At 33.8% G+C, this 15,065-nt stretch overlaps 1 protein-coding gene across 10 annotated transcripts in view; it reads left to right on the plus strand.

The window, feature by feature from the left end:
- The window catches only part of LRRK2 (leucine rich repeat kinase 2), a 144,289-nt gene that overhangs the window by 8,973 nt on the left and 120,251 nt on the right, over positions 1–15,065 (plus strand). For all 10 annotated transcript variants that reach the window (XR_007063041.1, NM_198578.4, XM_005268629.5 and 7 more), the window contains exons 4-7: positions 1,657–1,745; positions 4,000–4,134; positions 6,514–6,648; positions 9,581–9,712. Coding sequence is in view for 9 of the 10 variants with exons in the window: in NM_198578.4 (NP_940980.4) it covers positions 1,657–1,745; positions 4,000–4,134; positions 6,514–6,648; positions 9,581–9,712 (491 nt within the window). In the remaining variant the exon portion in view is untranslated. The remainder of the gene's footprint in view (positions 1–1,656; positions 1,746–3,999; positions 4,135–6,513; positions 6,649–9,580; positions 9,713–15,065) is intronic.

Consider the following 15,065-nt stretch of genomic DNA (forward strand, 5'->3'; position numbering starts at 1 on the left):
CACTCCCAGCAAAAATTGATTGTAAAACAGATTTCTCTTTTTTCAAGGCCTTTTCCCTCCAAAGACTTACCAGTACTGAAGAAAAATTTCTTCCGTGGTAATAAAGTCAGGAATTGTGGGAATGGTATAGGGAGAGGTAGGGGCAGGGTGATTAGGAGGAAGGCTGGCAGAGAATCGAAGACTGGCTTCATTCAGGTCCTCCAATTGCCAAATGGAGATTATGCAACGTTTCTTGAATACATACAAAACTCTAGATGTGGCCAGCTCAGTCTTCTTCCAATAATGTAAAGCCAAACAATGCTTTGCAGGAATAGACTAGAGATTATATTTTGGGATTAATAACATAGGGATTAAAATCTTATCTTGAACTAACTAAACATTATTGATATGCTAAATTCACTTTTTTTTTTTTTTTTTTTTTTTTTTTTTAGACAGAGTCTTTCTCTGTTGCCAGGCTGGCGTGCAGTGGCGTGATCTCGGCTCACTGTAACCTCTGTGTCCCGGGTTCAAGTGATTCTCCTGCCTCAGCCTCTCGAGTAGCTGGGACTGCAGGAGTACGCCACCACGCCCAGCTAATTTTTGTATTTTTAGTAGAGACAGGGTTTCATCATGTTGGCCAGGATGGTCTTGATCTATTGACCTCATGATCCCCCCGCCTCGGCGTCCCAAAGTGCTGAGATTACAGGCGTGAGCAACGGCCACCGGCCCACTACTTTTTAATATATCATTAATTTCTCTTTTAAAAACAGTAGCAATCAATAATTTAAATATTCAAATGAATTCTTAATTTATATACACAAACTAACATCTTTATTATATCTCTATATTTTAATATATCAACATGTCTAAGATAATTTATAAATTTACATCATATATAAAAATGGGTTTGCTCTCGATGTATATAAGGCTTCATGATATTTTGAATATGGAGTTGGGTGAAAATAGTGAATCTGAATATTTGAATTTGAATATTTATTGGAAAATAAGTAGTGCTTTTAACTTTTTAAATGAGACACATAATAGTCCCCTGTTGATTTTTTTTTATTTTTTTAACTTTATTAAAGTATAGTTGACAATTAAAAATTGTTTATATTTAAGGTATACAATTGATGATTTGACATGTGTACATTGTGAATTATTCACCACAATCAAGCTAATTAACATTCCCTGTTAGTTTTTATAAGCCTGGTTCAGGTTTGTAGAAAGAAACAAACACACATGGCCAGGCACGGTGGCTCACACCTATAATCCCAGACTTTGGGAGGCCAAGGCAGGAGGATCACTTGAACCCAGAAGTTTAGACCAGCCTAGGCAAAATAGCAAACCCTGTCTCTCCAAAAAAGAATGAAAAAATTAGCCTGGTGTGGTGGCATGTACCTGTATCCCTAGCAACTCAGGAGGCTGAGGCAGGAGGATTGCTCACTTGAGCCCAGGAGTTTGAGGTTTCAGTGAGCTATGATTGCACCATTGCATTCCAGCCTGGGTGACACAGCAAGACCCTGTCTCTAAAAGCAGGCAACAAAAACACATGAGCTTCACTACAGGGAATTAAATACAATGAGAGTAATAAAAAATAGGTGAGCAAAAAAAATGCAAATAAGCAAACTTTTGAGTATGATATTTCATTCTTATCTTGATTTCTGTTTTTAACTCCAGATTGATTCTTAAAATGCTAACAGTTCATAATGCCAGTGTAAACTTGTCAGTGATTGGACTGAAGACCTTAGATCTCCTCCTAACTTCAGGTAATATGTGTATATGTTTTTTGTGTTGATTCAAATTAAAAAAAAAGTTGATACCATTAAGTAAATGTGTGTGTGTGTGTTTTTTTTTTTTTTTTTTTGAAGATCAGGATTAGGGTAGCTTGATTTAAATGTCCTAAAATTGCATCTGTTTTTAGACCTAGTGATGGGACAGCCATAATATAATCTAAATATCAGTTATTTCCAAAATTCTTTCTGTTTCCATCTCTTCTCCTTATCTCTTTTCTCTATACTTTGCCTCTCAAAAATCTCATTCAATACATTGGTTTTAAACATTACCTTATATATTATCCCCAAATCTCTGTTGGTAGTCCGATGTTTGCTCCCAAAATCTGGACCTACATCTCATATTCCCCCAGGTTAGTGGTCATTCCTGCCCTTGCCATTATTACTTCTTTCTCCCTATATATCTTTAATAAATTTTCTATAATATATGTTCTGGAGTATGCCATAATCGTTACATTTTGAAAACACATAGTATTACTTCTTGAGTATTTGCTAGATGCCAGGCTTCACAAGTAAAATGCTTCACGTGCTTTTAAACACCTGAATCTGAAAACACCCCTTGAGATAGGGATTTTATCTCAGTTTTCTAAGTGACAAACACTGAAGTGCAGAGAAGTTGCTTTGGCCACTAAGAGGTAGAAACAGGGTCTGATTCTCCATGTCAGGTTCCTTCCCTGAGAAAACTTTGGCCTGGTAGATAATGGACCTGAAAACAAAAAATCTTGAAATGATGCAACAGTTGTGGGCATTGCTGTGCTGGACACTGGCTATTATATAAGGTTCCGAGAAGAAAGGCCGCTCACAGGGAGCTAATCTTGAAGGGCTGGGAGGAGTTTCCTTCCATGTAGGGGAGGGCTTTTTAGGTTGAGAGAAGTATGGGTGCAGAGGCCTGGGAGGATAGCATGAGAGAGGCTGGACGTGTGATTGGGAAGGTTTGAATTGTCCTCATCAGTCCTGCTAAGAGATGTAAAGACCATGCTGGAGAAAGAGGAAGATGAGAGTATGAGGGAAAAACAAGAAGGTACTCAACATTTCACTACAGCTTTTTATGACCATGTTGTATGGCATGCACTAAGAGTCTTTAACCATGATTTAATTTAACCTCACCCTTGGGAGGTATTTTTTTTTTGACGGAGATTCATTCTCCATTTGGCGATGGACAGGAAGATGAGGGTTTATTAATATGAAAAATCTACCAACACTGGAATATATTGAAGTTAGCCTCATACAGTACTACTACTCCTATTCCAGTATTATTATTTTTATTGACAGAATAGATGCTGTTTGTGTTAAGTTTTGGATTATGATAGGAAATGTTTGGTATAGTAAAAGGCAAGAGTGTGACATGCAGTTAGTCCAAGTACGAAGAGATACCAAAAAAAAAATGTTTAGTGAGGAGCAGAGTTTAGCATATTTGGAGTGAAGACAATGTGCGGAAGGAAAGGAGCTGATGAGATACATGTACTATAGTCGGTTGTGTGAAAGGTCTTGTTTTTCATACTAAGGATCATGAGAAGATCTTAGTAGATTCCAGCAAGGGATTTGCAAGACCACATTTGTGTTTTAGAAATATAATGCAGGCAATAAACCAGTTGGATAGAAATTGGGGACTGTAGAGCAATTAAGCAACTGTTTTTGCATTCTAGATGAGAATGCAAAACACAATAGGAATGAAGGTGCCTTGTTCAAAAGGAGTTTTGTTCAAAAGGAATCTTCAAGATGTGTAGGAGATATTCTTAAAGGACTTGGTAATGAATTGATTTGTTGCTTGGATAGAGAATGAGAAGAGAAAGGAGGGTGGAAGAAGGAAGATGACTTAGGAGTTTCTCTTGGGTAGCTAGTGGATTATGGTATCATTGATGAAGACAGGGAACAGGAGTAGGCCAGGTTTGGGGTAACTGTGGAATATTCAGATGTTGTCTAAGAGGCATAAGAATGTATTTCAGATGTTTGGGGCAAGTTGTCTAGGCTAGAAGTACTGATTGAGACTCATGAAATTATAGTAAAGTGAACTGGGAGTTTATCTCATTTATAAAGATCTAGAGCTTGATAAGTCTAACATCTAGGGCAGTTAAGTAGTTTATCAACAAACAAACAAACAAACAAACAAGAAAACCATGGGTCTACAAACCATTCACAGTCTTCATGTAAAAATTAATTCATGTAAAAATTAACACATTAAATGTTAAAGCAGCTCTTTACTCAGAGCATATTATTCTCTTTAAAATAGGTAAAATCACCTTGCTGATATTGGATGAAGAAAGTGATATTTTCATGTTAATTTTTGATGCCATGCACTCATTTCCAGCCAATGATGAAGTCCAGAAACTTGGATGCAAAGCTTTACATGTGCTGTTTGAGAGAGGTATTTTAAAATGTCAAATTCCTTAAAGTATATATAAGAAAAAAAGGCTTATACTGGGAAAAGTAGAACACAGTTATAATAAGAAGAAGGTTTCTAAAATCCTACTATTTATTAAGAAGTGGGAGTTGTCTGTCAAGGGTGAGGAATGGGGTTAATTCAGAAGTATTGCTTGTTTTGGTGGGGTGAATTTCATTCGTGGGTTATAAATCATGCCCCTGGAGTAGACTTTCTTCAATTGCTTAACAAGGCATAAGGTTTACTTTGAAAACTGGATGTGTGGGTGCTATGAAAGAAAAAATAAAACTGTGAAGCCAAGCATAGGTTACACTGGGATTATGATGTTGAGTCATCACCAGAAATCATAGAAATTGCATAAAGAGCCTGAAGGTTTACAAAGTGTCCTTCAGGAAAAAGACTAATATGCATTTCATAGCCTGGCCCTGAGATTGATAACTGAGATTATTATGTAATTTTAGAGTTGGTTGGAGTCCTTGTTTAGTCTTTCCATTGACCTTAGGAGGAAGTGGGTCACAGCAGTGAAGTGAGCATCCTGCCTGAGGACACAGAGCTTGTGACAGTACAGTTCAATTAGCAATTATTTTAAGAGCCCCTTTTGTATCATTATGAGAGCCAACTGTGCTAGGGGTTTAGATAAGAATGATTTATGTGGGCCCTGTGTCAGTTATCAGTTTACCAGTCTAATTTCTTGCAGTTCCCAGAATGGGATAGATCACCTGATAACTGTTGAATTCCCTGTCTCCTCCCAGAAGGATTTTAAACAGCTTATAGATAATTATAATACACAAGAGTAAACAAAATGGATGAGAAAATAGGTGAAGGGACAATAATATAAAGCTAGATTAAGTTTACTGTGTTTCTAAGGTCCTGCATATTTACAAAGGGGTGGGCCAGAAATTTGTCTGTTTGCTTCCTATCTGACAAAGAAAAGAGGTAAATATCAGTGGTTACAAAGTTCCTTAAGATAAAAGTAAACCTATTATTCAGGAGAAGCAATTGGTCTCATGGGAGATCTGAGAAACATCTTCCCATGGGTTTTCCTGGATGAGACAATAAAGGACATACATTTTGCAAGGAATACAAAGTGTATTGCAGCGAGAGTGACTCTGTCAAAAGTCAGAATAGCATGGGCCTGGTACCCAGCTCTTTGATAATCATACACCGTGAAGTAGAAGATAGTTTACAGCGAGTACGGAATTCCTTCAGGCTGTCATGTATAAATGTTCTATCTTGCAACTAAGCTTTCGATGACAATTAGGATAAAGTTTGAGGTTCTATTGTCTTGCAGGGTCTGTAATCTTCTGTGTGGAAGGTTAGGGGCACATTCTTCTTCCTGGAAGGAGGGCTAGCATCACTTTATCACCATCGTTGTTTAGTCCATCTAAGACACTGGAGGTAGACCATAGAATGTTACAAAGAAGAATGTTGCTCAATAGAAAAACCATCAGTGCTGAGAGGGTTATGACTATAAATGTAGAGTAGAAAAATTTCTGATTTTTCCAGGAGTATCAGGTTCTCCAGGACTCAGGGGTGACTATAAAGTTAATTTTCAAAATTTGAAAGTGTACTGTGGAAACTAGACCATAAAGTGAGAAAGTTCCATGATATTCTTCACTTGTTAGGAAAACTTAACTGATTTCACATTATATTATAGGGACACTCTGGCATAAAATTAAAAAAAATGAATGTTGATCACTTAGAGTGCTGTGTTTTCTAACATATTTCTGGCGCCATTCTCAAGCTAGATAAACTATAATTTTATACATGTTTTTCAGGTTGTTGCCCAATAACAATGACTCCAAATGGAACTTACTGGCTTGATCAAATGACTTTAATTGTGAAAATTAATGATTTATATTTTTGCTGTCTGATGGAAAACCACTAAGACAGAGTATTTCAAAGTCTGATTACTTGCCATTTGCTCAAGTTGACAACTCTTGAACTGAAACATTTAGCCGAGCTGCCCTTCAGCAGCCTACCATTAATGCCTCCCTTTTAAATATTGCAATATGTCCAGTTCCAGTTGGCCATCTTTATTAGTCACTGTCAGTTTTCTCTAGAATTTCCCAAATGAAATTGTAAATAATTTTGTTTTTCTGAGAACTGCTTGCTGACTAGCACTTTTACATTTCAAAACATGGAGTACCTAACATAGGCCGAAACAAAATTATTTGAATCTCCGTAGCTTGTTTTCTCATTATAACATTCTTAGGAAGGGCTGCTTCACAGAAATATATTTTTTATTTAAGGAGATTACACTTGATGTATCTCACACAACTATAATGAATATTGTAATTTTTGAATAATTAAACTTTCATATCATCTTTAAGCTTATTCAGTATTTTGTCTTTCATTTTTAAGTCTCAGAGGAGCAACTGACTGAATTTGTTGAGAACAAAGATTATATGATATTGTTAAGTGCGTTAACAAATTTTAAAGATGAAGAGGAAATTGTGCTTCATGTGCTGCATTGTTTACATTCCCTAGCGATTCCTTGTAAGTAGCATTTAAATGTTATTTATTTTTTGTATCTGAAAAATTACAATATATCTCATTCTGAGTATATTTTAACAATATTTTTATTATTTAGAAACTTGTGGATGCTCAACCCATTCATTCATTTATTCATTTAATTAATTTACATTCACTGACATTATACTGAAGTTGGCTGTGGGCTTGGTGCTGGAGAAACAATCGTGGAAAATACAGATGTGTTCCTTACCTTTTCAGAGCTTGTAGTACAATGGGGGACACAGATAAGTACAGAGGTGATTACAGTGGCAGAAGTGATGGCAGATGGCAGAAGTACCTAGAGTTAGGAGATCAAATAGGAAGTGAGGCAGTGTCTCTTAGCAAAGATTTAATAAGTGGAGCTTCCTGTGCATGAAGGTGTGACCTGAAGTGAGAATGCAGGCAAAGTGGCCCAGGCAGTGGGCATGGTTAATGTAAAGATGCTGGAGCAAGAGAGAGCAGACTGCCTTCAAGAAGACAAAAGTAGCTCAGTAAAGGTGTGGGGTTATGAGTGTGCGTGCATGCATGCGTGTGTGCCGCTGTGCATGCACATCCCCAAATATCCTATCCGTTTGTGTTTCATTGACAGAGGCAAGGGAGAGCTTGATAAGAGGCAGTAAATGAGGCCAGAGACATGGAGTGGAGAGCATGAAGGGCCTAAAAAGCCACATGAAGGAGTTTGAATTTTATTGTGACTCTTGATTAGCATTTTAATGAGGCTTTGAAATTTAGCCACATTTTTCACCAAAAATATTAATCAGAAGAAATTAATTTGATGTGTATGCTACCAATGATTGCTATTAGGCTAAAATAATGGTTCATATTCTGTTTTGTTTTGTATTAATGGTTCATATTCTGTTTTGTTTTGTAAGTGACCATTAACACTTTGTATTTTATGTATTACTTGTGTGGGTTTCTACAGGATATACATATGCATTTATCTAGTGATATTTTCATCCTCACACATGTGAAGTTTTGAGGATTAGAGTTAAACAATGTACCTGGTATGTAATAAGTGTTCTAAAATCACTGACAGGATTATTAGACAATATGTATTTTATATGTGTGTTGTATACTATATGTAATTGCATTTATGGTTTCAGATATGGAAATCACTGTGTCAATCTGAAGGTGTGAGCCTTCGGTGTAGGCAGAGTAAAACCCAATGCCCTTGTGAAAGAATGCTTTTTTTTGGTGATGTTTATAAAATCACAATGTTTTCTTATCCACAGGAAATTAAACACTGGAAAGTGGGTGGGGCTGAACAATAATAGAGAAAGGCCATGGTTTTACATTTCTCTGAGACATCACTGCCAACAAACTGAATATGTTTTTCATTATACTTTTTCCTTGGCTATATTTATTCATTTATTTATTTATTTTGGGCTGGAGGTTTTTGGAATCCATTGTTTTCCACCCACATTGGACATAACTCCAGTAAAAATGTGTTGATTCATAATGCAAAAGTCAAGAAAGTAGCAGCTAAAAATTAAGAAATCAAAAGTTTTTAAAACACTGATTCTAACTGAAAAACATTTGCTTTTCAGTCTTTAAGTCTATTGTTCTGAGTCAAAGCAGTTCATTTCCTTACGTTGTTAATTTTTTTTCTATGTTTAAGCATTGTAATATACTTTTTGTGAAAACAGTTGATTAGTTTTGGTTGTGCCAAAACAAATACTAAAATGTTTTGCAAACAGCCTTTTTTTAAACAAAAAAAGAACAGTTAACATTTGATGCAGAGATATACATGTTTTCTCCATGTAGGTTCACACCTCACTTCCTTTATTGATTAATTGCTTTTTCTGGTAGAGTCTTTCTTTCCTTTCTGTTTTACCTGTGTTTGTCCCTAAGACTTATATTTTAATATTATGCCTCCTCTCTTTCGTTCTCCCATCTTTTCTTCCACCTATTTTGGAGCCTTCAGGAAGCTTGATTTTGCTGCCTTGTACATTGGTTGCCCTTCTGGAATGGAGGAAACAGGTCATAGCTGATTTTAACTGTTCCATCTGGTGACATATTCTTGATTTTCTTTCTTTTGGTTGGGGAAAAAAAAACAATGCAAAAGTCATTCTCCAATGGGGTTGAGCCTCGTTAAGAAATAGACCCTCCACAATGGTTGAACTAGTTTACAGTCCCACCAACAGTGTAAAAGTGTTCCTATTTCTCCACATCAAAAAAAAAAAAAGGTAAGCAATATAACATGAGCCATATCTAATAGGACTTCAGAAATTATCTATCCTATAGTTCCAGGATGACGATGATGATGGTTGTGATAATGATGAAGATTGTGATGATAGTTATATGGGAGATAAAACTTTAAGCACTTTACATATTAAATTCTATAATATTCACCACATCTATTAAAATATGTTACATTATTGTCCCTATTTTACCAACAAGAAAACTGACCAACAAGATTAAACAACGTGACTAAGTTCACACAACCTGTAACAGCAGAATCTATGTCAATCACAACACAATTAGCAGCTATTTCTGTGGCAATTTTCAATAAAGATGTGTCTGGAAAAAAAAAAAAGAAATAGACCCTCCAATTTATTTATCTGAAAACTTATGACCAATACATTACATTTCCAGACTTTCATTTTCAGTACTTTTCCTTTCATTTTCAGTACTAAAAGTACTCTGAATTTTTCCTTTTTTTGATCTTAAGGCTTTAAGCCAAGAAACAGGAATAAAGTAAATTTTCCTTAATGCCAAAGATTAGTCCTACACCCCATTATGTTATTAATGAACAGCATAGTATTTTTTACAGCTACTTAAAGAACATGATGTTTAAATTTGGAAATGCAGTCATTATGCTGCCATCTATTTACAGTCTATATAAGACGTCTTTGTATGCATATTTGAAAGGAGAACATGGTTACCTTATTGATAATTATGATCTCTTTAAATTCAGGCAATAATGTGGAAGTCCTCATGAGTGGCAATGTCAGGTGTTATAATATTGTGGTGGAAGCTATGAAAGCATTCCCTATGAGTGAAAGAATTCAAGAAGTGAGTTGCTGTTTGCTCCATAGGCTTACATTAGGTGAGTTTCTTAGTTAATATGTCATCACACACTGTATGATATACATATACATATAAAACATATATATGTTGCATAATAATGGATAAGTAGCATATTGACATACTTTGAATGAAAATATTGTAAAATCCCAGAAAAAATAAATTAAAACAAAAAGAAAATACTGTAAATTACCAAACTGTTCTGCTGTGCTTAGATGGACTTTTAAAAGGAGTGTCAAAAATAGATGTGTAGAATGTAAAAGAAGTATTATCTTAATCTTATTTTTATAGATGTAGTTCTATAGATGAGTTTTTTTATTGTTGAGGCTATATTTAAAATATAATTATGTAAGAATTGATACATACAAAAATATGCATAACATATACAATATAAAGCATAATGCAAATAACTCACTATCCAACTTAAATGTTGTATATTCCCAGTGGGGGAAGCTACCCTGGGCTTCTTCCTGCCCTTGCTTTCTCTATAGAGGTTAACACTATCCAGAATTTTGTGTTTACAAATCTTTTGTTTATAAATATGATTTACTACATTTTCATGTTTCTCTAAGCAAAATTGTTAATGTTTGCCTGCTTTTGCTTCATCAAAATGTAATCATACTGTATGTTGTCTTCTGCAATTTTCAAATATCAGTGCTATGATTATAAGAATCAGAAATATTTTTGCATGTGGTTGCATGTAGTATTCTATTATTTGGAAATACCACAATTTATTTTTCCATTTTTCTATCCATGGACATTTGGATTCTTTCTTATTTTATGCTACTACTATCTGTGTTAAAACAGATAACTGAAAAAGAACAGTTAACATTTGGTGCAGAGATATACATATTTTCTCCATATATAAATAAGGGTTAATATTTTAAAAAATATTTATTTGCCATTGGTATGTCCTTCTTTGTGAAATATGCAATCTGTCATTTATCAATATTGTTCACAGGATAGTCTGTCTTTTTAAAACCGATTCATAGATTCTGGATAATAATGTTTTGGTGGTAGGTTATACGTATTGAAAATACCTTCCCTTGAACATCACACTCTGGGGACTGTTGTGGGGTGGGGGGAGGGGGGAGGGATAGCATTGGGAGATATACCTAATGCTAGATGACGAGTTAGTGGGTGCAGCGCACCAACATGGCACATGTATACATATGTAACTAACCTGAACATTGTACACATGTACCCTAAAACTTAAAGTATAATAATAATTTTAAAAAAAAGGAGATGAAGAGGTAGCTGCAGGTTGACTGAGCAAGGGTCATTGTCTATTTGAAGTTTCAAAGGTATCTCTGAAAATAAACACAGTTTTTTGCAAGAGTGAAAAAAAAAAAAAAAAGAAAATACCTTCCCTTGACTTGTAGCATGTCTTTTCACCGTCTTTATGGTGGCTTTTGTGATATAGTTAAATTTAATAATCAGTTCCTTTGTGATTTACTCTTTTTTATGTATCTTGTTTAAGAAATCTTAATCTGTCCTTTCCCTAAGATAATAAATATATTGTATATTTTATTCCAAATCTTACTCGTTTGTTAAACTGTTGCAGTTTGTTTTTGTAAAGAACCCAATTCCCCCTCTTTTTTTCAGTGTGGAGAGCTAGTTACCATCACAGCACAATTTATTAGAGGTTCACCTGTTTCCCAGTCATGTGGTATATAAATATGTAAACATATATGCTTATGTTTCTGTCCTTGGCGTTCTGTTGCATTAATCTGATTTGTCTGAATCAGATTTAAATCTGATGTTAAATATAACACTATTTAAATTAATAGTTCTGTAAGTCCTGATATCTGAAAAGCTAATAGGTCAAGTCACCATACATTCTTTTTTAGGCACAGCTTGCCTTTTTTCTTGGGCCTTTACTATTCCATGCAAATTACAGGATTAACTTGTCCAGTTCCTTGGAAAACACTGTTGAGATTTTGACTGGAATTGCACAAAATATGTGGATCATTTTAAGAAGAACTGACATCTTTACATTATAATTTCTTCTATACATGTCTTGCACATCTTAGTTTTTGCTACGTATCTTATTTTTTATTATTATTGTAAATGGTATTTCTTTTTAAATCATATTTTTGAACTGTGTTTTCATAAAGAAATGCAAATGATTTTTTGTATATTGAACTAACCTACCTTTCTAAACTCTTCGTTAATTCTGACAATTTGTTTCTAAATGCACTTAAGTTCTCTACCTAGCAATTATATAATTTGTAAATAATGACAGTCTGAGTTCTTCCTTTCTGCTTCTTATATTCTTTATTTCATTTCCTTGTCTTCTTACATGAGTCAGAATTATTAATATAGTGTTAAATAGAGCCATTGATACTAGACATCCTTGTCTTGCTCTTTTTCCTGATTTTAAACAGAATATTTTTAATATTCTCCCATCCAAAATAATGCATCTTACAAGGGTTTAAACTTTTAAAAAAAATTTTGTTAAGAAATTTTATTTTATTTCTTCTTTGCTTTTGTTTTTTCAATGTGGGCTTTTAAATGTTTGCTTTTATTTTTACAATGTGGGCTTAAAAATATTAAAATATTTAATTTTATCAAATATACTTAAAATGTAGTAAGTCTTTTTTTTCCTTTTCATTATGTTAATATGAAGAAATACATCTACAGGTTTTCTAATACTAAGCTACTGTGCACTTCCTGATAAATTTAACTTGGTCATTTATTAGATTTTTAAAAACACTTCTAAAAAATCTTCTCTGTTTATTTTCACATATACCAGGTGAGTTTTGGCAGCCTCTTGTTTTTTCTTTTTTACCCTTTCTTTTTTGTTAAAAACATCCTTTTATTTATTTAATGATTAATACATGGCTATTTTGTGTTTTGTATCTGATAACTATATATAAAGTTCTGGGGAGTCTAAACCAACTGCTTCTAGGCTGACTGCCTGTCAGTTGCGGAGCCTTGTTTTCTTGTATGGTTGTGAGTTTCTCTTTTATTGAGCATCCTGAGGACTTAAATTAAAGATGCTCTTTCAGAGGTGTTTGCCAGGAGTCAGAGCACAGGACTGACCTGGGAGCAGTTTAGGATATGATCCAGGCTTAATATGGGAGACTCTGGTTGAGACCTTACCTTGCAGAGAGTCTGAAACTGGTTTGTTGAATGCAGCGCCAGGATTCATGCTTTCCCACAAGACTACTCTGGCGTTCAACTCACAGCTCTTGTTTCAGCTTCTTTTTGAACTCCCTCTGCCCCTCAACACACACCTTGGAAATTTCCTTGATATTTTTGTGAGGACAACAATGCATTTAAAAGTGAGAGTGGTTGCTGAATAATAAGGAATGATCGTTAACTGTTGGACATTGATTCTGATGACATTTTCTCAAAAGGATAACCAGGAATATTTTGTACAAAATTAGGATTATTATAATAGGCATTTAGTTTTTCATTGTTACAAATTTTGAGGAAAATCATTAATCATTTGAAAAAACTAATTGACATGTCTCCATTGTAGCAACTTGTATTTTCACTTCTAGTATCATGATTATATCCCCTGTGTAATTTGGAAATTGATTTTAGCATTAGGAAATTTCCTAGTTTCAGTTAAAATGAATTTTTTGTAAGCTGAATTCTATTTTACATGCACAACTTTAGTTTGTTATTTCTTTCCTTGACAAGCATTTATTGAATGTTGTTATATGACTAAAACTGTAAGATGATAATGTTTTAATATTTTCACATTTCTTTCATAGCTTCCAAAGTGTATATATATACTCACATACTTCATATATATGAATCTACTTATATACTGTATATAAAAATATGTATATAAATATATACACATTGTATATAAATGTGTATATATATTTACACATGTATATAAATATACATACAAATGTATATAAATATACATATTTATACACAGATGTATATAAATATACATATTTATACACAGATGTATATAAATATACATATTTATACACAGATGTATATAAATATACATATTTATACACAGATGTATATAAATATACAAATATAAATATATACATTTATATATAAATATACATATTTATACACAGATGTATATAAATATACAAATATAAATATATACATTTATATATAAATATACATATTTATACACAGATGTATATAAATATACAAATATAAATATATACATTTATATATAAATATATATATTTTTTGATACGTACAACTATCTTGGGAGATGGGATATTGTTATTATTTCCACATTTACAGATGAGGTCCTGTGGTTCATCAATCTTTGTGTTTTATTCAAGATTATGTAAGCAGTAAGGGATGAAATCAGGCTGAGAACCCAAATTTCTTCATCCCTAAACAAAGTATTTCTTCTAAACATGGTATCCATTTACTAGTTTATCTCTATCAGGTGACCCTTTATTCATTATTTTTCATGAGAAGGTTGTAGTTGTACAAAGTGGCTGATATCTGATAATGTTTTAATCTAATTCAAAGTCGATTTCTTAAATCCAGGTGTCAGAGTAGCACACTACTGTACAATTCTCTGTTTCATGTTTTACAATTTACCACAGTCAAGTTACAACTTGCACATGTTACATTAAAATGTGAATTCACCTTAATTTCTTGAAATGAGCCAGAAGAAGAAGTGGTTTTGTTTTGTGATCAGGGAAATGCTACTTGACTGCCAAATTGTCTAGAACAGCACATTAAAGTTGCTTGATTTTATACTGTTAAAATTAAATAAAACATGGCAACTGTCATGTCATATGTAACTTTTGTATTATTCTGTAACTTTTTTTGAAAATAAAAAGTGATCAAATTGATCTTCAGGTAAAGAATCTTTTTTCTCTTGATTATCTCTTAGTGGATGATGATTTGTTCCATTTAATGGGTAGAGAATTTATTGTTGCTGTTATTGTTTCAAAAGTAGCTGAATGAAACTCTTAACTTTTTCTTCATAGTTAAAATTAAAACCTCAAGTAAATAAATATTTAACGTTTTGCCAAACTATGTAATCTAATTATGGGCTTAATGCATTTAAAGGCTTTGTATAATTTGCTACGTATTTTCACACAAGTTACCTGAACATAAGTCCAGTCTTCCTGCTGTTTTCTGAGTCACACAGTGATTCAGTGACCGAACAGCTGTTGGCAGTGGTGTGGGTATAATAGGGAAAAGAGACTGATGGGGACAACCCAAGTTTAGACAAGCTGGTAAAAGTAGAAGAAAATCTTCTTGAAAACACTAGTGATCACTAAGGGCTGTGGAGAATTTTTGCTTGGTGGGTGAATGTGGAAGAGGCAACAGCATGGGAAGGTGTTGGTAAAGGAGCTCCATACTTGCTTAAACTGCCTTTTGATTGTGAGGCCGTTGATGAATATTTAGTTTGGGCTTTAGGTTTT

This window comes from Homo sapiens, chromosome 12 (assembly GCF_000001405.40).
Source record: "Homo sapiens chromosome 12, GRCh38.p14 Primary Assembly".
Taxonomy (NCBI): domain Eukaryota; kingdom Metazoa; phylum Chordata; class Mammalia; order Primates; family Hominidae; genus Homo; species Homo sapiens.